At 38.4% G+C, this 27,087-nt stretch overlaps 1 long non-coding RNA gene across 1 annotated transcript in view, besides 1 other annotated feature; it reads left to right on the top strand.

The window, feature by feature from the left end:
* PTCHD1-AS (PTCHD1 and PHEX antisense RNA) overlaps nt 1–27,087 on the top strand; it is a 1,100,142-nt gene that overhangs the window by 335,716 nt on the left and 737,339 nt on the right. The gene's annotated exons all lie outside the window — the stretch shown is intronic.
* Nucleotides 6,124–7,323: an enhancer, noted in NCBI's record as "CDK7 strongly-dependent group 2 enhancer chrX:22968225-22969424 (GRCh37/hg19 assembly coordinates)". NCBI's record gives its function as "activates an origin of replication core promoter dependent on BRD2, BRD4, P300/CBP, MED14 and CDK7 cofactors, with strong dependence on CDK7, by STARR-seq in HCT116 cells {active_cell/tissue: HCT116}" and the evidence as "EXISTENCE:reporter gene assay evidence [ECO:0000049][PMID:35650434]".

Genomic DNA, 27,087 nt, shown 5'->3' with positions numbered 1-27,087 from the left:
ATTTCTCAGGCTGATTTTTCATTTCATCCATGGTCTTTGTTAGATATAGATGTTTATTATTTTCATATATATTTAGAATAATGTCTACAGTACTTCTTCTGTGCTAAGCATTTTTCTAAACACTTTAAAATATTAACTCAATCTTCACGACAAATCTATAAAATGGAAACTCATTAAATCCCAACGAGAAGGAAATTTAGGCATAGAGAATTAATTTACTTAAGGCCACACATCTAGCATGTGGCCGAGCTGGGATATGGGAGGTCTGATCTGGAACCCATGTCCTTACCCACCGTGCTATCTACTTCAGTTGTATCTCCTCCAAGTCAGTCTGCATTTGTGAGTACTGTGATCGTTTGGGGCTTGCGAGCCGTCTAGATTTTAAAATAAATATGTATTTTTTAACTTTTTTGTTGATCGTTTTTGCTTTCTTTTTATATTTAACACTTTATGTATAATTTCTTTTGATGGATGGTATAAGATAAAGTTCTTATTTGAAATTTTAAAAATATGAAAACTTTCCACTCACTTTTGAGCATATATCCCTTTTTCACTGCTTGTTAAAATTTCCTTTTTTTTAAAAAAAAAGAAACTACATTCTCATACATTCTAGGTTACATTTCAAGACTACTTAGTCATATCTATCTATCTATCTATCTATCTATCTATCTATCTATCTATCTATATTTTGAGACAGAGTCTCACTCTGTTGCCCAGGCTGGGGTACATTGGTCCCATCTCAGCTCACTGCAACCTCTGCCTCCCGGGTTCAAGTGATTCTCCTGCCTCAGCCTCCCAAGTAGCTGGGACGACAGGTGTGTGCTACCACTCCCAGCTAATTTTTGTATTTTTAGGATAGATGGGATTTCACCATGTTGACCTGGCTGCTCTTGAACTCCTGACCTCAGTCCACCTGCCTTGACCTCTCAAAACTCTGGGATTACAGGCATGAGCCACTGTGCCCTGCCTTGATCTATATATTGTTTCATGCTGTATTTGTTAAACAAATGTCTACATAATGCCTATTATGAGCTGGACATGCCATTTAAATTGTTGCAGTTTTATAATATGTTAGTCAGTTGAAGGATTAGGAGGTTCATAAATTTGGAAAGGAGAGCTTTATTTCTTATAAAGAGTTGTAGCCTACAGGGTGGCCATTTTGACAGGCTGGGAAGCCAGAAACAGGCAGTTCAAGAGAGGGGGGAAAAGGGAACAGAAATTTATGCTGAGTAGGTTAGCTAAGTATACACATTCAACAGGTTATAGGAGGAGCTATGAATATTCACGAAGGGGAGGCACAGGCATGCATAGTAGGCCAACATGTATGCAACATGAGTTCTGATGTTCACTTTGGGGTAGAGACTTAACATTTAAATGTATTACAATTAGACCCTGTACCTCAACAGGTGAAGCAGTGGACACAAAGTCCCTCTGTGTGCAGCCTCTATGGATTGGCTAGAACCACCCCATGGACAGTGGTCTCTTACCAGGAAGGAATGCTGGTCAGTTGCTCTGTCAAAACTGCAAAAAGAGAGGGACAGCAGTCAGTGAGATGGTTGAAAACGGTGGTGGAGCAAGTCTTTTGAAAGGGCTAGTTTCTATTTAGCACTTAGGGAAGAAAGCCTAATGGCAGTTAAGGAGTAATGAGGTATAATGAGGCATGCCCGACCTCCCATGCCATCATGGCCAAGAACTCAGTTTTAAAGGTTTCTCTGGGATCTCCTTGGCCAATAGGGTGTCTGTTCAGTCAGTTGAGGAGCTTAGAATTTTATTTTTATTTCTCATGTTTAACAGAGAGCAAGTTCTCAGTCTTTGAAAACCATTCTTCTTCTTTTTTTTTTGAAACAGAGTCTCACTCTGTCGCCCAGGCTGGAGAGCAGTGGCCCGATCTGGGCTCACTGCAAGCTCCGCCTCCTGGGTTCACGCCATTCTCTTTCCTCAGCCTCCGGAGTAGCTGGGACTACAGGCGCCCGCCACCATGCCCGGCTAATTTTTTGTATTTTTAGTAGAGACGGGGTTTCACCGTGTTAGCCAGGATGGTCTCGATCTCCTGACCTCATGATCCACCCGCCTCGGCCTCCCAAAGTGCTGGGATTACAGGCATGAGCCACCGCTCCCGGCCGAAAACTATTATCCTTTTACAAAAAAAGTTAAAAGAATATTCTTCCATTTGAGATTTGTTCTATTAATAATAGAATCTGTTTTGTGTATTACTTAAGCTCATAAATTAACTTGAAGTGATTGACTTATTTTAATGATTCACTCTTTACAGGTGGATCGTAGTATGTATCTCCATTTATGCAAGTATTTTTTCCTGGCTCTCTAGAGTACATATACTCAAGATTATTATCTGAGGTATTTGTACATATTTTGTTGTTATTCATTATCATATAGCTTTTTTTTTGATAAATAGAACACTTTATACTTTCTATTTTTTTTTATTTTGTGAGTTTACTAAATCTTGATTGATTTTAAGAATTTTTCAGTGGATTATCTTGAGTTTTATAAGAAAATTTTTGGCCGGGCATGGTGGCTCACGCCTGTAATCCCAGCACTTTGGGAGGCTGAGGCGGGTGGATCACGAGGTCAGGAGTTCAAGACCAGCCTGACCAACATGGTGAAACCCCGTCTCTACTAAAAAAATACTAAAATTAGCCGGGCGTGGTGGCATGTGCCTGTAATATCCCAGCTACTCAGGAGGCTGAGGCAGGAGAATCGTTTGAACTTGGGAGGCAGAGGTTGCAGTGAGCCAAGATCATGCCACTGTACTCCAGCCTGGGCGACAGAGTGAGACTCCGTCTCAAAAAAAAAAAAAAAAAGAAAATTTTTGTGTCCTCTTTTCTAAATGATATTAATATTGTTTCTTGTTTTATTGCCTCGCCCAACAGTTCCAGATCACTGAAAAAGTAAGAATATAGTTAAAAGAGGCATTTTTGTTCTACTTAGGAATTAATGTTTTTGTGTATGTTTATTGATAATTGACATTTTTCATTTCAACCAAAGTGAAGTCACAGTCTTCTCATTTATACTTGACAAAAAATATCTTAGAAATTGCTACTGAATTTTATTAAATGCATCTTTGACACAGATAGTTTATGCTTCTTTGATTTTTGATATGATATATATTTAATATTTGTCTTAAGTCATATGCACATTCTAATGAAAACTCTACTCGTCATGTTGTGGAAGGTTGAAATAGTTAATGAAATTTTTTGCTAGTACTTGATGTGGAATTTTTGTTCTAATTTTCATAAATAGGATTGGGTTCTACATTTCCTTTTTGTGCCACCTTTGTCAGGTATGACAGTTATTTAGCTTCCCAATATGAACTAGGTAGTTACCTATTTTTTTCTGTCATTTGAAACAGTTTATAGATCTTGGGGATTATCTGTTTTAAAAAAGTATTTTAAAGAGTTCACCAGTGAAATTGGACTGGACTCTCTTTAAATAAATTAAAAAATGCCATCAGAGTTTATGAAAAAAATTCTTAAAAGTACCAAAGATGTGACAAATAGTAAGAAATTGTCATGCATACATTTAGTGAAGATGGGAACACAGAGATGTAGGTAAAATAGTGAAGCCAATTTTTAATTTTATTTTTAAAATTGACCTATATTTTACAATTTACACTGTATACATTTAAGGTGCACAATTTGATGATTTGATATACATGTACAATGTGAAATAATCACCACAAGCACACGAATTGACATATCCATATGTCTCCTCAGCTCTGAGTCTAACTGGAGATCAGAAACCACCTTTGCAATGAGAGGATCGGCTCATTCTGGCACACTGGTTTTGAGTTTTTAAGGTGTCATATTTGTGGATGGGGACAGAAAACAAAAACAGGAAGTAAAATAGGGGAAGCCTCTAAGTTCAGACACCAAAATGTTACAATTAAAACATTTCCCACCACCCCACATCCATGGGGCTGCAAGGAACTTCACCTGCTACCAGGTGCTATTTTAAGTGCTTTTCATACATTAACTTATGTGATTTTCCTAGCAGCCCTATGTGATAAAAAGCTCCTATACTCCCTTGTTACATCCATTCTTAAACACTTCTTTTTATCTAATTTTTACATCTCAAAGGGATCGATCAATAGCATTTTACACTTTTGGTTGTTAATGGGTTTTTTTCCTTTCTTTGAGGCACATATAGTGTTGGCGGGTGGAATTGAGGCAATAACACTGTTTTGTCCTCATTTACAGATGAGAAACCTGAGATAGAGACATATTAGTTGGTAGAATATTAGACCTGGTAGTTGGTAGAATAAGGGTTTGAACCTAGGAGGTCTGGCTCCAGAGTTTTGGTTCACTCCCAGAGTCCCATCCATACTGCTGTAAGCTTTCCACAAGCTCCTTTACTGTATCCCTTCCTCTTAGGCTTCTTATGCTTACTGGATTGTGGTGCATTTGGCTGCTCTAAGCTTTATGACTTGCTTAGATTACCACACCTGCTTGGACTTTCTGAACCTCATATCCTTGATGCCTGCCTACCACCCTGGTCTGCTCTGCTGCCCCAGCGTCTTGGAATCCAAAGTCAAGCCTCATGCCTGTCATATGCCCACCTCTTGCATCTAATTCCTCATCAGCTTATCTCTTAGCCTCATCTTGGCCTTCTGTGCCTGATTTCTGTTTCCCCTGTGTAATTCACTGGTTATCTCAATGTCATTAGTGCCGATAATGATAACAGGAAGGAGATATGAGAATGGGGGTTCCTGAAAACGTGCTTCCAAAAGGTTTTGACTAGCATACCAATCAGTTATGAATATAGAATCCAGAGATAAATTCAAGCATTCACACATTTGTTCACTTATATACAAACATGATAGTGCTATGCCTTTATAACTAGTTATTTGATATAAATTATCTCCCACAGATACTTAAATATATTCAAAATGTTAAACAAATAATTTAGGGGCTGGGTTCAGGGACCTTGTCTTGTAGTCTCTGTCTTCCCTGGAATTTACTACAGAGTTTTAGATGCAGTGAGTGCTCGGTGTGTTTGGATGGGATTCATTGCCTTGAAATGCATTTGGGTCCAAGAAATGACATTATATCCCGTTTGCATTTATTGTTCAGCATTTCTGAAGTATCATTTCCTGCCTAGGTGGGAAACCTTTCTGTAAACAGAACACTTTCTTTCTGATCTGAGCCTGTTCTATACAGTTAAGAGAGAGAACAGTTTCTCAGTGTGGCCTCAAGGGCAACTCTCTGGATAAGGACGATGACTCATCCTCCCAGGGTCTCCCTGCTGAAACGCTGCAAATAAGTATATTCTGCAGAGGACGCAGAGTACTGTGGTACGAGTAACAGAAAGCCCAACCCTTCTGGACAAGGATGATTTGCAGTCACAAAACTGTCAGCCACAGCTGAGAAACCCCTTCCAAAGGAAGAATCAGCGGATTAAATGGTGCTCCTGCATGTTTTGCCACTTTAAAATGGTGAAAGCTTATTTACTTAAAATTTTAAAGAATTTGCTTAATTGCAGAGCCTGGAAGGCAACACTGAAATGCAGAGATAATAAGAAAACATCAGGGCTAGAAAACTAAGGATCTTGGTGAAACATATTAACAGTGCTGAACCAAAAGAGGTGTTTAGCTATATTTATGCAAATAGCTTGTTTTTTGATAATACTTGTAATTATTATAATCACTGGGAAATACAAGAAAACAGGTTTTTTTTTTTTTTTTTTTTTTATCTCTCAACCTAGATGGTAAACTCCTTATTGAATATTTTCTCCAAGGATGAGAACATAAGGGACAATAGGTCATGTAAAATATATTCCTTTAACAAAGCTTTATTAACTTGATCGTATTTGTCATGGCCATGCCAGGTGTGGGAGTAGGATGAGGGCTTGTGTATATAGCTGGAGAAGAGCCCAGAGGTACCCACAATCCATTGCGGAGCAGCCTTGTAAGCACCGGGAGACATAAGAACAAGTAAGAGCCCCATACTTGGGGGAGGGGATGGTAGTGATCAGGAAAAAGATAGATACAGAGCTGTGTTTGGAAAGACAGGCTTGAGTTCCCTGGATGAAGAAAGGTGGAATTAAGGTTGATTATTCCAGATAAAATGAGCAGCTTATGCAAAGAAACAAAGGGTGAGACCCCATTTTCCCTTTGGAGAACTATAAGTAACGTTCTGTATAGCTAGAGCTTAAAGGGAGAAGGGAAGCATGACAAGGCTGAAGTGGAGAACAGGTAGACATTGAAAGGCCATGTCTTCAGTTGGGTTTCTCCAGAAACAGGCCCTGAGATAAAAACTTTAAGGTCAGTGGTTCATTTGGGAGGTGATTGCAGGAAGCACTGTTAGAAGAGGGGAAGTGAAAGCAGATTACAACTGTGGGCAACTGGGCATCTATCCACTGGGGACCTCTGGAGAGACTGTGTGTCTCTGAGTTATCTCACTTGACAAATGGGAACTGGGATCTATATCCACCCAACTCCCATCTATTTTTGGGTGAGGCCTGCTCCCAGGAGAGTAACTCCCTGACACTGGGGGCATTCCCCTGAGGCTAGAAAAAGCCCTGAGGCAGAGACGTACATGTGCTTGTGGTAACAAGCTGGTGGCATGTATAAGAAAGATGAGTGCTAAGAGGATAAGGATGGGACACTAATAGTATCTAGTCTAGTATAGGCCATGTATGCCATGCTAAGAATTTAGGCTTTTAACCTAAGGGAAATGAAGAACCGCTGAATTATTTTAATATGGAGGGTGGTGATGTGATGAGATTCGCATTTTAGAAACATTTTTTTTTTCTGGTACCAGTAAGAAGAATGGATTACAGTGGTCTAAGAAAAGTGGTAGAAATAGGCAATTAGGATGCTTTGCAGTAATTTAGAGGCAAAATCATGAGAGCCGGAAGCATTGGTGTGCTGGTGAATGTTTAACAGTTGACTCACACACATACACAGAAATCCTGATTTGTATGGTTTGGTGATACTTCCAGCATGGCCAAGTTCCAGCTCCCAGTGTGCTGTCACTGAATGCTGAGTCAGGAGGAACTAGATGTGCACTATCATCTCTTACTCCACCACACCACTGGGCCGACTGTGATTGTGTGAAGAATAAGGAAACTATTTGAAGAGAAATTGAGTAGAATCATAACTGATGGGGGATGGGTAAGATGTTATGAGGCAAAAAGAATGACACTCAGATTTTTGGCTTCTATAACTAATTAGGTGATGGATCCTTCATTGAGATGGGAAATTTAGAATAATGATAATATCAATGATAGTAGTGGCAATAGCAAATAGAATGCTTGCTATGTGCCAGGCACTACTTTAAGCCTTTTAAACACATTAACTTAGATAATTTTCACAAAAATCTTATAAGCGAGTTATCATTGTTATAAGCATTTTACCGATAAAGAAACCGAGTTGCAGAGAGGTGAATTCATACACCCAAGTTGTTATGTGGCTGAGTCAAATATCATCAAATATCCAGTTAGTGTTCAGATTTGCCTGATTGTTTTATAAGTACTTTCACAGTTGCTCACTCAAATCCATCATTCTTTTTCATTTATTAGCTGAAATTTTTCTTATAAATGAGATTTTTTTTCATGAATTGTTTGGTAACTTTGATGTATAGTTTTGTGACAGAAAAGCAGGGCAAATGCTTGATTCTTTCCCTTTAGCTGCCAGTTTCAGAACAGTGAGTAGGTTCACTAACACCTCCAAAGATGACCACTGAGTTTTAGAAATTCATCAAAAAGTGGGTGAAGGATATGAACAGACACTTCTCAAAAGAAGACATTTATGCAGCCAACAAATATATGAAAAAAAGCTCATCATCACTGGTCATTAGAGAAATGCAGATCAAAACCACAATGAGATACCATCTCAAACCAGTTAGAATGGTGATCATTAAGAAGTCAGGAAACAACAGATGCTGGAGAGGATGTGGAGAGATAGGAATGGTTTTACACTGTTGGTGGGAGTGTAAATTGTTCAACCATTGTGGAAGACAGTGTGCCGATTCCTCAAGGATCTAGAACCCGAAATACCATTTGACCCAGCAATCCCATTACTGGGTATATACCCAAAGGATTATAAATCATTCTACTGTAAAGACACATGCACGTGTATGTTTATTGCGGCACTGTTCACAATAGAAAAGACTTGGAACCAACCCAAATGCCCGTCAATGATAGACTGGATAAAGAAAATGTGGCACATATACACTATGGAATTCTATGCAGCCATAAGAAAGGATGAGTTCACGTCCTTTGTAGGGACATGGGTGACGCTGGAAACCATCATTCTCAGCAAACTAACACAAGAACAGAAAACCAAATGCCATATGTTCTCACTCATAAGTGGGAGTTGAACAATGAGAACACATGGACACAGGGAGGGGAACATCACACACTGGGGCCTGTTGGGGCGTGGGGAGCTGGGGGAGGGATAGCATTAGGAGAAATACCTAATGTAGATGATGGGTTGATGGGTGCAGCAAACCACCATGGCACATGTATACCTGTGTAACAAACCTGCACATCCTGCACATGTATCCCAGAACTTAAAGTGTAATAATAATAAAAAAATTACCATATGAATACCTGGGTTGTTTTTAACAGCTTTACTGAAATCTAATTTGTATACCATAAAATTAACCCCTTTAAAATGTACACTTCAATGGTTTTTAGTATATTTACAGAGTTGTGGCACCATCACCACAGTTTAATTTTAGAACATTTCCATCATCTCCAAAAGAAACTTCATGAATACATAGAATTTTTTAGAAGATGTTTGATGTGTTTCAATGCATTTTAGTAGTATTCTCTTGAGGTTCAAATTGTGCCATATTTGGTCAGTGGGAGCCCCTTTTGAGATAGGTTTCTATACCAAGTTACAGTGAAAATAAAATGAGAGAATCATTTTCAAGATGCCTAATATTTTGGGGATGCTAAGATTGTGGTCATCAACCTTGGATGCACATTAGAATCACTGCAAGAACTTTAAGACATCTTGATACGTAGTTCATTCCCCATACCAATTACAGCAGAAGCTCTGCAGGTGATATCCAAGCATCAATACTTTTAAAATCCACCATGTGGATTCCAATGTCAAGTCATGGTTGAGAACCACTGAACTTTGAGGATGTGAATTAATTTCCTTTCTTTCTCCCTCTCTCTTTTCCTACTCCCTGCCCAGCCTTTTCTCTCTCAATCCTTGCTTCCAATCCCAGTCAACTACATCACTTTTTGGCCCAGTCACTCAAGCAAGCGACCGTAATCATTGGATACTTTTTTTTCTCCAGCATTCTTTAAATCCAAAGGGTTTTATGAAGATGAATGGCCAGATCATATTTTTACTATAAAAAGGATACTTCTGTCAACAATGTGAAGAAGATATTGATGAATCAAGGGAAACTACTCACTATTTAAGTGCTTGTCCGGGACTTACTGTAATAACCTTTACATTCCTTAGCATGATATTGTAGGCTACCCATGACCCAATCTCAACCTCTGTTATCAACCTTATTACACACTCTAAATCTCTGTGCCCTTCAGTGTGGTCATATTTGTATACATTTTCTCTATCACCTTGCCACAGAAAGGGTGGCCTGTCATGGACCTGTAGCATTGGCATTCCCTGGGATCTTGCTAGAAATACAGGATTTCAGGCCCCACACATAGGCCCAACTGAATCCAGTTTGCATTTTAACAATATTCCCCAGTTGATTCGTAGGCACATTAAAGTGTGAGAACTTTTCTCTAACATACCATGCACTTTCCAGCCTTTTTGTCCCTCCTTATGCCCTGTTCTTTCTATACATGTCAGTTCTTCTTCCCCTTTTCTCTTTTGATTCATCCTTGAAGCCTTAGTTCAAATGCTGTTGCCCTGAATTCTTCATTGATTTCCCACGTTCCCACCTCTGAATAGAAGGGCTCTTTTCTGCCTCACGGCTTTGGTGGTATGTTTGTCATATTATTCTCATAAAACCTTAATTTGGGTTTTTTAGTGACTCAGGTACGTGAGAGATAACTGTATTCAAAGCTCTTGAGTGCAATAATCATGCCTTATTCATTTCTTTATCCACCTAGCACTGTACTTTGCAGATATTAGAATTTATATTTAAAAAGTAAAAAGGGGAATACATGAATGAATAAACCTGGTTAGAGAATGTCAGCATCTGCTTTCCCTGACCCTTTCTGTAGAAGTCACTGATGTCTTCAACTGGCACACTCAGCCAGTTTATTTTTCTATCCAGTCTTGACCAAGGAAAGCAGCTTATATTAACATCACATCCACTAGTTATTGATGTCTGGAATTACTGTGAACATGAACTCTACCGTGTCTGGTGTGAGCTCCGGGCACTGCATGCTCACTGATCTGCTTCCTTTTCCCTATTCCCAACCCCCTTCCAATCTCACTGTGTGCACCCAGCATGTCAAACTAAATTTATTTCTATGCTTGGTTTGAAATCTCATTCTTCTTCTGTCTTCTACCACACTCAGTTCACCCTCCCTGGATATATATATGTTACATGAAATCACTAACATAGTACTTTTGAACACTGCACTTTAGACTGCTGGTCAATGCTGTCCACCAACCCACACACAGACACACATAGGCACACACCACATGGACAGGTTGCTTCCTTTAAACCAGTCTTAAAATTACCCTGCTTTTTTCCTGTGGCTCCTGCTTGAGCTTATTATGGAGAAATGTAGTCTTTGAGACTTTGACTTGGGCTTTGGGACGTAGGGACTGAAGCTTGCACAATTGTGGCTTTACCAAGTACTACGAAAGCTGGTCTATTTTGTTAGGAAGTATTTTTTTATGAAGAGCCTTAGCACTATGCTGAGGTATTTGTGCTCTGTTTGCATTGTGCTGGTAATTCCACCTATGCTATGCCTTCTTGTAACTACTGTCTTAGTCTAACTTAGGTTGCCGTAAGTACCTAAGTACATAAGTACTATGGAATGGTTGCTTTATAAACAACAGAAATTTATCTCACAGTTCTGGAGGCTGAGAAGTCCAAGATCAAGGCACTGGCAGATTCAGTGTCTGGTGAGGGCCCAATTCCTCATAGATGTCTTCCCAGAGTAACCTTACACATGGTGGAAGAGGAGAGGGATCTCTCTGGGGCCCCTTTTATAAGAACACTAATCCCGTTCTTAAGGGTTTTACCCTCATGACCTAATCACTCCCGCAAAGTCTCCATCTTCTAATACTATTACATTCAGGGTTAGGATTTTAACATGAATTTTGGGAGGACATAAACATTCAGTCCATTGCAGCTACTTAGGGCTTAATAAATTGATTCATATCTCATTAATGTTTCTAACTTATTTCTATAGACCCACAAGTATTATTACTGCCAATGTATCTCCTAATTTAGTGTTGTCCTTTATCTCTAAATTGTCCAAAAACTAATGGCTTACCTCACTTTTAGGGGCAGGAACTCAGTCCTCCATCCGTTCTAGATGGGAGGAGAAATGGTCTCTCCACTCCTGTTACCTTTTGCTGCCATAGAGTATTATATGAAGCATTGTCCTGTGACATCCTGTTTACTCCAGGGTAATACGTCTGCTGACCCAGGTTCTCATATAGGCTGCAATGGTGTGCCAGATTTGGTCTCCAAAGCAACAACTCTCTTGGATTCATACTCACATGCATATCTCTTATCTGCAGATATCACTAATGCTAGTGTATCTGGGTCTGAAGGGCCTTCTAAACATAAGTCGTATGCTGATTTTTTTTTTTTAACTACTCATTTTTTTTTTCTTTTTCCAGACGGAGTTTTGCTCTGTCGCCCAGGCTGGAGTGCAGTGGCGCGATCTCGGCTCACCGCAACCTCCACCTCCCGGGTTCAAACAATTCTCCTGCCTCAGCCTCCCGAGTAGCTGGGACTACAGGTGCCTGCCACCACACCTGGCTAATTTTTGTATTTTTTAGTAGAGGTGGGGTTTCACCGTGCTGGCCAGGCTGGTCCTGAACTCCTGACCTCAAGTGATCTACTCGCGTCGGCCTCCCAAACTGCTGGGATTACAGGCATGAGCCATCGTTCCCAGCCTTAACTACTCATTTTATACGTCTAGCCATGTCTGTGTTCTTGGACTAGATTTACTGATTTTTCTTTGCCTATATAATAAATTCCACTCCCTAAATTTGACCTATGACCTTTATCTCCCAACACCAGTTGTTGTTCTTAACTCAGCAGGTTGTTGTAATTCTCAACATTGGGAGATCATGACATTTGCATATTTCTGGATACATGTCAAAATTGTTTTAAGAATTGTTTTAAGAATAGGTAGTGGGTTCCCATTTTATTACGCAATAGGAAATAATTAAAATACTGTTAAACCAAATATAAGTTGGCCATGGATAGGTCAATCATGTGAATATGCCATGAAGTAAAGGTTGTAATGAATCCAATTCTGTGTACCTGGGTTGTAAATAAATCATTTTTCAGTTTTGGTCATACAACTATTTTTTCCCTTCATAATCCAAGTGACACCAAGTAGAAAAGTAGTTCACAATTTTATCTTAGACAATTTCATATCCATCTTAGAGCACATTAGCCTCATTAGTAAGAAATCTGAACTTCATCAATCCATCTCCCCTTTTGGGGTAAGAATCAAACTATAGGCTCTCTGGGGTGTGGAGAAGAGAGAACTTTTCCTTGAAACCCCTGCTTGTAAAACAAAGGGAGTCAAATGCCTGCCGCCATGTGCAGCTTTGGGTCAAAATTACTGGAGATTCCTTTAGAGAGTTAGTCTGTTCAATATTTAGCTAAGTATGTGTGAAATATTATGGGTGATCTTCAAGGCTAGCACCTTTCAAACACTAGTTCTAGAAGACTTTTAAAAATATTGGTAGTAGAGAATAATGTTACCTCTTTATTGAGACATGCCTGCAGCACACATACTGCATGCATGCCTCTCAGTTAGGCTCCAGATCAGTTCCTTGTTGCCATACTTTTTAAGTTTTATTAGCATCTGCAGACTATGAAAACTCTTCTGCATGGAGGAGTTGGTGTTGCCAAGTCTCATCTAAACTTCATCTAATTTCAGCTCTTCTATTTGTTGAATTCCTGAACCCCACACCCATGACCCAATTCTCTGGGAGAACAGTATACTCTGCCAAATGTTGCCCTCATTGGAGGTGACTGGCCATGGAAATGAGTAAGAATTGGCTACCGAATGGTTATTCTCTACTTGGTTTCTTCGTGGAAGAAGGAACAAGAACATGGCTGCTGTTGGGATATTGGTATATCCAAGGAGTATGACTACATTTACTCCCATTTAATTATTTTCCCCAAAGGCCAACAACAATACCTGCTCACTATAAGCATTCAGAAAACAGAAAAGTTTCAAGAAGCAGGAAGAAAAGACTCACCTATGATCCCAACACCCAGAGGTAATAATTTACCATTTTTGGTGTATCTTCTTTGTCTTTTCCTATGTGTTGCCTTATGTAGATATGTAACAGGTTGTGGTTTAAACCGAAGCTATACCCATTGTTTGGAGTCAGGCAGGTGCGATAAATTTGTAGGTGGCTCACCAGAAATCTATTTGCATGATGAACCTACATTAAGCAGAAAATATAACCATTGGGTACTGGGTTTAATACCTGGGTGATGAAATAATCTATATAACAAACCCCGTGACATGAGTTTACCTATGTAACCAACCTTCACATATACCCCTGAACCTAAAATAAAGGTTAAGAAAAAGGGAAGCCTTATAAGACCTAACAAATAAGCAAATGAAAAGATGCTGAAAATCGTTAATCACGAGGAAAATGCAAATTAAAATTACAATGAGATATCATGACACAACCATTAGAATGGCCCAAAGTGAAAAGTCTACCATTGCTAAGGATATAGGGCAACAGGAACTCATACACTGCTGGTGGAAACATAGAACAATATAACTACTTTGGAAAACACTGGTGGCATCTTAAAAAGTTAAACATGTACCTACAATATAATCCAGACATTTCACTTCTAGGTATTTATCTAGTGAAATAAAAGCGTATAACACACATAGACTTATACATGAATTTTCCTAACAGTATTCGACATAGTAGCCAAAATCTGAAAATAACCCCGTTGTCCATCAACACGTGCACAGATAAACAAACTTTGGTATATCTATACAATGGAATACACACAACTTATATGAATCTCATAATACTTGTGCTGAGTGAAAGAAGGCAGAGGAAAATAAGAGTTCATAGTTTATGATTTCATTTATATAAAATTCCAGAAAATGAAAACTGATCTCTAGTGAAAAAATTGCAGATTATTGGTGCTTGGGGATAGGGGTTACAGAGGGGCAGAATGGAAGGATTACAAAGGGACGTAAGGAAAGATATGGAGGTGATGGGTATGTTCAATACCCTCCTTTGTAGTGACAGCTTCACGAATATATACGTATGCCAAAATTTGTCAGATACTCACTTTAAATATGTGCAGTTTATTGCGTGTCAAGGACAGGTCGTGAAAGTTATAAAAACATTATTTCCTGGACGAGACACCGTATTAGTCAGGGATCATTGGTTATAAATTACAGAAAGTGACTTGGTCTCAATTAAATTAAAAGGAATTTATTAAATGGATAAGGGGAATTTATAGGACTGTTAGGAAGGCTGAAGACCAAGACCTGGAATGGAGCAGAATAAAAGACAATTTCAAAGACCCAGAAAACAGGAAGGAGAGGACTACCTCATACCTGGTACCATTTGGTTAGAGTGCCTGTGATGCTTGATGACTACCTCCTGCCATTTTCAGGCTAGAGTAATGGGATAATGGACTTACAGCGTTATCATTCGGTTAAAGAGTAAAATTCCAGTGAGGGAGTATTCTCCTTGGCTGGGAGAAAGGGGCTATGGCTAATTTCTTAGGGAAATCACAGTGCTATTAGGAAGGGAGAGGAGATGCTGGGTACCATTTTAAAATAAAAACAAAATAACAAAAAACAGGCTGGGTACGGTGGCTCATGCCTGTAATCCCAGCACTTTGGGAGGCTGAGGCAGGGAGATCACTTGAGCCCAGGAGTTCCAGACCATCCTGGGCGACATGGTGAAACACCGTCTCTGTAAAAAATACAAAAATTAGCCAGGCATGGTTGTGTGCACCTGTAGTCCTGGCTACTCGGGAGGCTGAGGCATGCTTGAGCCGGGGGAGGTCAAGGCTGCAGTGAGCCAAGATTGGGCCACTGCTCTCCAGCCTAGGTGACAGAGTGAGACCCTGCCTCAAAACAAACACAAAAAGACCCCAAATGCCTACACTCTTGAGAACATTCGCATTCTGTTCCAGTTATTATTGATCCATAACAAATCACTCTTAATGATATCCATTTTTCTGAAGACTTTTTCATCCATATCCTTTTTTTTTTTTTTAATTCCTTTAAGTTGTTTTTCTCCTTTCTTTGGTACCTCCTTGAGTAGCTTACTAATCAACCATCTGAATTCTTTATCTGGCAATTCAGAGATTTCTTCTTGGTTTGGATCCATTGCTGGGGAGCTCTTTTGGGAGTGTTGTAGAACCTCGTTTTGTCCTATTACCAGAATTACTTTTCTGGTTCTTTCTCGTTTGGGTAGACTGTTCCAGTGGAAAGGCCTGGAACTCACGGGCTGCTGTTCAGATTCTTTTGTCCCACGGGGTGGTCCCTTGATGTGGTGCTCTCCCGCTTCCCCTAGAGATGGGGCTTCCTGAGAGCCGAATTGCAGTGATTGTTATTGCCTTACTGGGTCTGGTCACCCAGCAGGGCTACCGGGCTCTGGACTGATGCTGAGGAATGTCCGCGGAGTCCTGTGATGTGATCTGTCTTCGAGTCTTCTAGCCATGGATACTGCTTGGGTGATGGGTTCACCAGAATCTCAGAAATCATCACTAAAGAATGTGTCCAAGTAACCAAACACCACCTGTTCGCCCCAAAACAATTGAAATCATAATAATAAATCACTCTTAAACTTAATAGCTTAACATAACAAAAATAATTTCATTATTTCTCATGTGGGTCAGGAAATTGAGGAAGGACTTGGTTGGGTGGTTTTGGCCCCAGCTCTCTCTATATTTGCAGTGACATGGAGCTGGAATAGTAAGGGGCTGAAGCATCTTGGGCCTTCCTGGGAACCTTTCTCTTCTTGTAGCCTCAGTTTTCTTTATGTGGTTTCTATTCATGAGCTAGTCTGGGCTTCCTTACAGCACAGCAGCCTCATGGTGGTTGAAGTAGTCAAGAGAGAACATTCCAGTTGATGAGACAGAAATTACATTGCCTTCTGTGACCCACACTCAGTGTCACTTCCACCTCATTCTGTTGGTTACAAACAAGTCACAAGCCCACCCACATTCAAAAGGACAGGAGAGATACCCTATCTCTGGATAGGAATAATGTTAAGGTCACATTTTGAAGAAGCACCTGTGATGGGAGACATTGTGGTGGCCATCTGTGGAATATACTGCTATGCTTGCTCTGAATAGTTAGGACATTTCAACTCTTCTGGTCTCAAAGTGTGTAACTTAGCATGCTGAATTACACAATCCTTGTGGGATGGTGTATCTAAACATGAAATCAGTCTTCTGCTTTCTTAGAGGCAGTATAACTTTCTATATGATTCTTAAAGATCTGTTGAAAGCTCGACTCCAAATTTTCCCTTGGCAATGCCTAGAGAAGACATGTCATGGTAAAGAGCACTAGAATGATATTTATAAACTCTAGGGTCCTATCCTGTCTTTGTTATAATCCTTGGCAACTGAATCTCAGTTTAACTCTCTGTAAAATGGAAATTCTATTTCTCCTATGCACTCCACAGCTTTATGGTGAGGAGCAAATAAGGTTGTTAGTGTGAAAACACTAAAAATGGAAAAAGGTCACATAAAAATGAGATACTGCTATTGTCCTTTTAAGTAATTTTAATGTTTCACAGCCCACTGAGGCAGGAAGCTTTTCCTAATATCTGACTTAAATATATTTAGCTGCCGTAGTTCTCTGTAACCAACCAACTTGAAGTTGGTTGTGCTTAATTCTCTGTGTTGAAATGGTGACAGAGTCACATGCTCTGTTGTTTTCACTGTATTGCCACCATATAATTTGATTTGTATTCTGTGCATCACATAAGCCTATTGCTCAGCTAGCAAACAATTCTGATCTTCTGGCTTCTAGCATTATCATTCAAAAATCCCCAAATCATTTTCCTGATCACTGCATTGCATTGCTATGGCTTAATACAGACTTTCTGTTTTGGTTCATTGTCTCTAGACTTATTATTTTACATTTGTCTACATTAAACTGCATTCTCTGTTTATTGGCCCAGTCACCATAAGGTGCCAATCCATCTGAATCATGCCGTTGTATTTTTTTTCTACATAGTGTGTATATACCATATAAAACTAATAAAAATCTATGTACCTTAGAGGAGGTCATGAATATTTTATTGGTTAAACTTCAGGGTCAGACTAACACCTCAAAACAGGTCAAGTCAATGTTCAGGATACCAGGCCACTGAGCAGAGCAGAGCCTTCCAGGAGGAAAGCGAGCCAGTATTTTCCAAGGGAAAGCTTTGATAAAACCTGGTTCACTCTATAAATTTGTACTATATTCTCTGGTGGCCTAGGGCTCATAATTTTAGAACTCTCATTTTATCTCTGTTTAAATACCCATGTTATAGTACCTTTAAAATATACTTTCCTGAAAAGGAATATGATCCATTCGAAATGAGACTGCCTATGTCAGAAAACCAATTAGCTCGGACCACTGTTAAAAAAGTTGCTTAAGAATTAAGCACATTTAATGAAAATTAAACTCAAATGACGGCTGTCTTCATTCATGCCAAACATGTTTGGGGTCTACTATGTGTCGGGCAGTTAGTTGGAGTAAAAAGTACACTGCAGAGATCTGCTTTCAAGAAAATATACGTTAACAAAGGAAAAACTCAGTGATAAATCGTTACAGTTCAGCTCTATGTGAAATATCTTGGGATATTTCCATAGAGAACTGCAGGTGTACAGAGCGTGGGGTGACTAATTCTGCCTGGGAAGATTAGGATGTTTGAAAAGAACAAGATATTGAGTTTAAGCGACAGTATTGAATATTGAGAGTATTGATCATTTTCTTCCTTGGCTTTGAGACATTGTGGAGTATGAAGAAATCACATATTCATAGGGAAAATATAGCCTGTTATCTCCCTGGTCCTCCCTCACCTACCCCAGCTTCTGGAAGTGATAGGAACTCCTAGAAGATTCCTGGTAAATTAAAGGGATGATCAAGAATATGTATATATATATATATACACACACACACATATATATATATACATATATATACATATATACATATATATATATACATATATATGTAATTTCATAATTTCTGAAGCTTACTGAGGATAGTGATATGAAATTATGTAATTTCATAATTTCTGAAGCTTACTGAGGATAGTGAGATGTTATAATTGGAGGATCAGGTAGACGAAATTTGCAAGGGAACTTGAGGTCACAATTCTAAAGAGCGATGTATTAGTTAAGTAGACAAAAGCAGCCAGTTGCTGTTTTTTTTTTTTTTTTTTTTTTAAGATGCATAGGCCTGCAGGGGGTGTGTGATAAAATATTAATGCTATATTTTATTCATTTATTTTGATGAAATCTTAACATCATTGACTAGAAGAGAATATTGTGATTTTTGAAGGATTCTTTTCCAAAACCCAAGTGACAGCATAAGTCAGTTTCCTTCAACTGATAATTAATTATCCATGATAAGGAAGTATGAGAGCAACAAAAATATCCCTTTCCCTAAAGGGCTGGTCATGACATGGGAGACAGTCAGTCATCAAAACAAGGAGGAATTCCAAGAGGAGTCACGAGGCAGTAAGTGATCAATCTGAGCTCATTTGGTTGTTTATCTTTCCTATATTTTGAATGGCTATAGCATTTATTGTCTCTTCTGCCTAATTTAGCACTTAATAACATAGTTTCTCTTTGTCCTTTAATTGTTTGACATATGAAGGTCTTGTTTCTCCAACTAGACTGTATTATCTCTGTGGCAGGAATTTTGTTCTTGGCTGGTCTCCTCTCCCCTCACCTGCCAGTGCCTAGTGGAGTGCTTAATAGCCATCTATTAGATGTCCAGTGAATACATATTTGTTGATGGTCTAAGAGGCCATGCAATCAGGCTCAATTATTCTACTTCTTCAGCCCCAGCTTCCATTTTTGGAAAACCAAGTTAAACTTGGTGATTTTCTAAGGCCTTTTCCCGTCCTGTAAATCTGTAACTAAGATTTTAATCTGCTTATATTTTACTATCTGGAATAAACCTACCATTAACATCAGTAATCATATGTTAATATTATACAGATACCTGCTATTTTTCTTAATTGTGAAGTCACCATATTTTACTTATGTATCCATGAAATTATACCAACAGATGCATAGGTTGCACATACTGTGTGCTAGATATTTTAGGAGATACTGGAGAGCCACTGGTGAGCAATGTAGTTCTCACCCTCCATTGAGAAAGGAAGGAAGGAAGGAAACAGATCATTTGACGATAACCACAAAGTGAGATGAAGGGTATGCTGGGAAGAGATAACCAGATATGGAGGAACATGTCTGAGCACCCAACCCTGACCCTTGGGCTTCTGAAAGTCTTGCTTGGTGGGGATATTTTGTCTGAGATGACTTGAAGGATGAGGATGGGTCAATTGATTAAAGTCGGGGAGCAGAAGGGCAACATGTGTAAAGGTCCTGAAGCAGGAGAGAGCATGACTTACTGAAGGAATTTCAGTTAGGCCTGGGGTGAGATTTTGAAGGAGAGATAAGGTAAGACATGAGATGCAGAGATGGGCTCAAATTCAAACCTTTGGAGAACATTAAAACATCTATTAAGAAGTGTGGAAGCCACTGGGGCAGGGAAACGGGGGAGCAAGGAGATGACATGACAGACTTGTATTTCAAAAAATCCCAGAATGTTCCCACAGTTATGTTTTATGTTCCAGCCATTGAAATCCAACACACATTTTCTGACGTAATCTAAAATCATCCGTATCTGACTTAGACATAAAATGTTTTAAGTTTGTTATAAGTAGCAGATGCTCCTAATTGATTCTCTGACACATTTCAATGTTTTTCAACAGAGATGAACCATAACTGTCTTAAGTAACATTAATGCAAATTTAAAATAGTGCCACTGATTATTTTTGTAATTAACTTGCCGATACTCTTAATAATTTGTTTTCTTTTAATACAGTTGTTGATCTGTAAAAATGTTCAGTCCAGAGTTAGTATTAAAATACAGTCAAATACGTTGGTGGAAAGAGCATAGACTTTGGATTTGGAAGCATACTGGCTCCTTAATTGTTTATAATGCAGACTTGAGTAATTCATGTGACCTCTCTCAGTTTCAGTCTCCCTTTTGCAAAAGAAGGATTATAAATCAGGGTTTTGGTAAGGATTCAAATGACTTTTTGTTACATATCTAGCAAACGATATGACCCACATTAAGAGCTCAATAAATATTAACTCACTTTCTCCTCCCCAAAGGCTCTTTTCAGTGGGAAATGGAAACTGGGGTTTCTCTTTATTTTATATCAAAAGCTTAATAAGAGCTATTGCATGACAAACATCACGCTAGGTCTTAAGAATGGGAATACGATTTAGTACCTGATGATGTGAAACTTAGCCTGGTGGGGTAGAAAGATGTATTACAAAAAATGAGAAAACCGCTTTCCGTTCTAATCCGTAACTTTCCTTCACAGGACAAAGAGTTGTTTCACTTTTTGGCTCAAAGTCTTTATAAGGAAATTTTGATCACGTCTCAGATTAATCAGAGAAGTAGTCAATTTAAAAGGAGCCACAGATGTGTCCTGTGAGAATGGCTTTTATAGTTCCAGGCTTTTATTTAGGTCAAGCTTATGGAAGCCACAGTTTAATCCAAATAAAGTTATCTCTGCCAATTTACATTAGACACTTTAGGGCCAGTATGTAATTCTAAATAAAAATTAATAATTACAAATAACTAATACCATTAAAAGTTGAAAAGCATAAATCAACAAATATTTATTGAAAACCTACTATATTAGTAATAATAACATTATGGATAATATTTGTGTTTAGAAACAAACCTCTATACTACCCTGACTCTATGTGTGATACTTGATGATACTTTTCATTTTGTACATGATGAAACTGAGCTGTAGAGAGGTAAAGACATTTGTCCAAAGATACGTGACACATAAATATAGTTGCCGGAATTCTGACTCAGGCAATTTGGTCCTGGAGCTCACATTCATTACCTCTATGCTACCCTGACTCTATCTGCAATACTTGGTGCTATGTGCAGCTCAATGAGTCAGATGCTATCTGCCAGGTATTCTGTGCACTAGGAATACAAAGAGAAAAACATGTTAGCCGTGACCTCCAAGAATACATGATCTAATTGAGAGACAAATCCACTGACAAGCAATTATGGTACTGCCTAATAATTGTTATTATAGTGTTTATTTCCCCAGCTCCCAGGAGTAAGAGGTGGGAGATAGACAGGGTGAAAGATGTAAACAAAGGAATGCACTCATTATTTATTTATTCTTCATTATCTAAGGCGGAGTCTGAAAATTGGCAGCCCCAGTTTTGTTTGACCTTCAGGATTTTTTTTTTTTTAATTGTATTACTTGCCAGCATTTAAAAGTCAGGAGATTTTACATAAAATTCCAGATTTCTGGTTTCTACTGAAATATCAGAATATTTGGTAATACTGGGCCCATAGTACACCATGACAAAAAGCACCCTGAGCTTAGCAGCTGGCACTCGCTTTCAACAAAAAATGTGCCCCTTTATTAGCTACAAGCTCCCACAGACCTACTTCAGGCATTCACGTGACCTGTTGGTTCCTGTAAATAGATCAGTTTGCAGCCTGCTGTTTCTAAGGTTCTCCAGAGGTTCATAACTTACCAGGGTATATAGTACCCTCACTGATACCTAAATAACTGAAGTAGCTCAGTCCTGATTGCTCAGAGTCAGAGATAGGCTTACCATCGTGCTCATTTCTTTCTTCCATTTTTTTTTTTTTTTTTCCCTGAGCTGGAGTCTTGCTCTGTCACCCAGGTTGGAGTGCAGTGGCACGATCTTGGCTCACTGGCAACCTCTGCCTGCCAGGTTTAAGCAATTCTCCTGCCTCAGCCTCCCGAGTAGCTGGGACTACAGGCGCCCACCACCACTGCATCGGCTGATTTTTGTATTTTTAGCAGATACAGGGTTTCACCATGTTCGCCAGGCTGGTCTCGAACTCCTGACTTTGTCGTGATCCACCCGCCTCAGCCTCCCAAAGTGCTGGGATTACAGGCGTTAGCTACCATGCCCGGCCTGTGCTCATTTCTTGTGTGAGCCTCAAGTCCCTGGGAAAAGTTCTAGCAACAGTTTGACATAAATCATATGTTTTTGAAACATTTGCAAAAGTCAGATATTTTAGGTACAGCTGGTTAATGCTGCTGTCTCTTTCCATTCTGAGTTCATTCCCCACACGTCCCTTCCTGTTAGGGGTGCTGGAGTGGCTGTGGGTATTTAAAATATTCTCTTCTCAATGAATTCACTTCTAGATAAATATTTATTTTTTATTTTAAATATATTTTTATTTTTTAAACATTTTAAAATATGTTTTTTAAATATATTATATTTTAGTTTTTAAAAATCTAATTAAGCATCATATTTTTTCTTAACGAAGGCCCTACATTATATAAGCTTCAATCTTCCTCTGTCCAGGATGCTTCATTCTTACCTCCAAAGGCATTGGTGTGCTGGGGTCAGCTTGTACCAGCTTTTGAGAGACACTGCTACATTATCAGGAGTTTTGGGAGCAGGCTTTTAAGCACAGCCAACAAGAATGAAATTATATAGACATAATTAATACATTATTTTATAAAAATGGAATTAATACTCACAACTCATTAAGTCCTAGTTATCTGACTTCATTTTACTATTATCCATGATCTTGAGGTTATTTACATCTGTTTTCTGTGTATGGTAGAAATACTACATAAGGGGTGCTATTGCACGTCTCTTCCCAACTCCATATTCAGTGATATAATGCTGGTAACTTGAAATTGGCCAGGGTCGGAACATTTACACCACAGAAATTGGCAGTCTACAAATTCGGACTTTTTTTTTCCTGGAGAGTTGACTATTATTACATGTTCATCAACACATTGCTATCTGATGGTGTTGCTGCATATTGAGACTGAGTGGTGCTGGTACCATCTTTCCTAGAGCAAGCAGCCTGAGTTCTGGGGACACACATAGATCAAGATAATGGAATGGTTCATAGATACTTTATTATGCAGTTGGATGTTGTTTTTTAAAATAGGTTTTTTCTCTCTTTCCCTTGTCATCCATAAGGGGAGAATCCAGGGATCATTTCCCATCTGCTGCTGTTCAGAAAATAGCGGTATATTTCACATCCTGCGAGGGAATAGGAAAAGGCATACCTAACTTAGCCTAAGAGGGAGGTGGTGGTGTTCAGAGAAATACTCTGAAAAAGAAGGTAAACCCCCAGAATTTGTAAATGAGATGCAAAAGTTCTAAAATGCAATCAGAAACTAATGAAATAAATGAGGTCGACAACAGGGGTAGATGACAACTTACTTTTATTGAACTTTGAGTGCACCAGGCATTTTGCTAAGCATGTTACACATATTTAATCTCATTTGATCCTCAGAATAAATAATCTTTGGGGGTTGATATTATTATGCTCAATTTACCAAAAGGAACCTCAGGCGTAGAGAGGTTCAGAAACTTGCTAAGATCACTAGCTAGTAAAACGTTCAGGCCAGGATTAGAACCTCGGTTAGTCTGACTGTAGCACCCCAGCCAGCTCTCAAATATAATGCTTTGCAGCCTGTACATTACATATGGTGGAGATGAAACAAGATTTTTCAAAGAAATAGAATAATTTGTGACTCATAGAATGTAGACTCAGATGCATGTTCAAGATCTTGTAGAAATTTGTGTGGTGTGAAGTTAGGTAGTAGGCAGATTTTAACACAATAATTCTGTCATCTTGAGCAAATCGATTAATATCTCTTTGCTTTAGTCTTATGATCTTTGAAATAATACCTTTAGCATTGCTGTGAGGAACAAATTTTTATGGTAAAGTACCTTACATAGGATCTGTTACATTGTGAGTATATAACAGTATAGCTAATCGATATTGAATGTTTTCTAGATGGCAGACACTATCCTAATACCTTTCTATATGTTAGTTAATTCAATTATATCAGGCAGGTACTATTATTATCATCTCCCTTTTACAGATGAGAAAAATGAGTAACAGAGACTAGACAAGATGCCCAAGAAGATAACACTTTGTAAGGGTCAGAGCTGGGATTCAGTCTCTGCTTGTCTGGCTTTTAACCACATGTCACAGTAAACACTTATTATTTTATTGTTATTAGTATCAAAGAACAATAAATTTTGGTTTAGAAGACTTCATCCGGCAATTGGTTATTAAGCACTTACTAAGTATCATCATGCTTGGGGTCATAAAGATAAAATTAATATTGTTACTGCCCTCAGGCTGATAGGCTAGTGGGTAAATTAGATTTGCAAGTGAACAATTATAATACTACGATATATATTATAATAGATGAGAAAACACCTAACATTGTTTGGAGATGTTCCGTATGATCTTCACAGGAGATGGCACAAGCTAATTTTGATAAAGAGAAGGCTCCTGTCTCACAGAAAAGTGAGGGAAAGGGTAGTAAAGGAAAAATAGACAAGAGAAAAGGCATAGAAGTGTTCATTTATTGCTTCAGAAATATTTGTGGAGCTATTACTATATACCAGGCAAACTTCAGTGCGGGGAATATAATGGTAAACAAGAGAAAAGCCTTCCCTGAGCTCCTTTAGCAGGAAATAGGATATTAGAGGAAGGACATGTGGTTCAAGCTAATTGGGCCAGGGAGCATTTGAGAGGGAGTGATGGTGGGAGGCAATTCTAGAAAGGTAGAGCAGAATTCTGGTCATGAAGAGCAGGTAGGTAGAAAGACCCCTTGACTCTGGGTAGAATCTGAATCTCCCTTCCCACACATCTGCTGCCCAGAAGCTCAAGGATTGTATTAATCAGAAATGAGGATGCCATTCTATAGAGTGGCTGCACTTTTGTAGGCTGGTGTGAATGCCTTTCACTGCTCCCCATTCCTGTTAGTACTTTTCTTCCTATATCTCTTTATAATCCTATAACTCCAAGAGAATAATTGAATAGCAAGGGGGGGAGGTGGCCGTGACAAACACGTCTGTGGAAATACAGTCTAAACGGACAAAGATAGGTCTGAAATAAGAGTTCTCCAGTGACAGCATATGTTAAAATTTTTAGTTTATTATTATCAATTCATTATTATTTATTCCTTCTTCTTAAAGATGCAAGGGAGTGAGGACAATAGAGAGTGTGTTTCAGTAACCACAAAAGGACTGCAAAAAGGTTGCTAGATGAAGGACTGTGGATATCACCAATTTACCATTTCATCTATAGATATAAGATAGAAATTTGACTAGTACCCGAGCAGACAGATTGATGGCCAAAGAAAAACTACAGATCCTCTAAATAAATGGGAAAGATAAATAAAACAGCTGGGACTTACAGAAAAGAAGTTGCCAAAACAAATGTGAAAGACAATATCCTCCTGAAGACATAGAGAAAGAGTGGACCTCTGACAATTATTTATTACAGAAATTAGAAAACTATGAAAAATATATTTGGGAGCCTTTAGAGAAATTGCTATCAAACTCTGTTCTATGGAATTCTAGGATTTTGCAGACATCCTTTACTGTTTAAGCCAAGATAACCAAATCATGATGAAAATACATGTATAAAATCATTCAAAGAAACTTATGGCATCAAATATGAGAGAAATTGAGATTATCTGTAAAAAGCTTATTAACATCTGTGATATTGCTAATGTCATTGAGGAAAGTGTGTGTAAGACAAGCAATCTGACACAAAAGTAGAAATAGAACTAGTGTCTGGTAATGGGGTCCAGAGAAGAATATTCACCAAATCTACTTGAATTAGTTTGAATGCTGAGATTATATGAAATGTTTGCAATTTAATGAAAAGTATGATTGCTGTGGATCAGTACAATTTGCTTGTTTTGTGGAGGCTATCATCACCACAAGAAATGTTATTTTTAAAAACATTTGATATATACTCAGTATAACAAAAAATGTAAGATGTTTCTATGTACTTTTAACTGTCATCAAATAGGTGGAATATGTTTAGTGATGGCTGTACTGCTAGGGGAAAAAGAATGGCAAGAAAAATAGTAGGAAGAGAGGATTTTATAAAGGTAGTTTTAAAATATTCAAATATTCAAATATTCGAGGTATATTATGAAGAAAAATACAAAAATTCCAGCATCTTTTAAAGTAGTATTGATTACTGTCATAAATATTGTTATTTTATCCCAGCGTGCATGAATGTGTTTGTGTTCTCCCCACCCGCTTCTTTCTTTCTCTCTCTCTTTCAAACCAGAAATATGCTTACTCTCTGAGTATATGAGTAACACATGCCTATTGTAAAAAAAAAAAAAAAAAAAGATAAAGATAAAAAAATAGGGCAAACATAAGCGAGAAAACCAAACTATCACCCAGATAGTACGTCTACTGAAGTTTTGGTATTTATAATTCTAGACTTTTTCTTAAGCATATGTAATACAAACACTGAAAAACAAACTAGTATAGGCCTTTTCACCGTATTTTGCCAATATATATGATTAGATGATCATGTTCAGTGACTGCATAATATTCCATTGATTAACTCTACCACAGTTTAATCAATTCTCTATTGATGTTTTTTGATCATAAAGAGAATTGCCACAAATGTGCTTGTGCACATCCTTGAAGAGTTATTTTACTATTATTTATGACAAATTGCTAAGTTAAATTGCCAGTCAAGAGGGTATTTATGGATTTTTTATATTAATAACTATTTCAATATTTAATTGAATATATGCATAATCTTTTTTGAGACGAGGCCTCACTGTATTGTCCAGGCTGGTCTCAAATGCCTGGCCTCAAGTGATCCTCCTACCTCAGCCTCCCAAGTAGCTGGGATTATAGTTGTGAGCCACTGTATCTG

The sequence above is a fragment of the Homo sapiens genome, chromosome X (genome assembly GCF_000001405.40).
Source record: "Homo sapiens chromosome X, GRCh38.p14 Primary Assembly".
NCBI lineage: Eukaryota > Metazoa > Chordata > Mammalia > Primates > Hominidae > Homo > Homo sapiens.
This window is presented reverse-complemented; position numbering and strand designations above follow the sequence as displayed.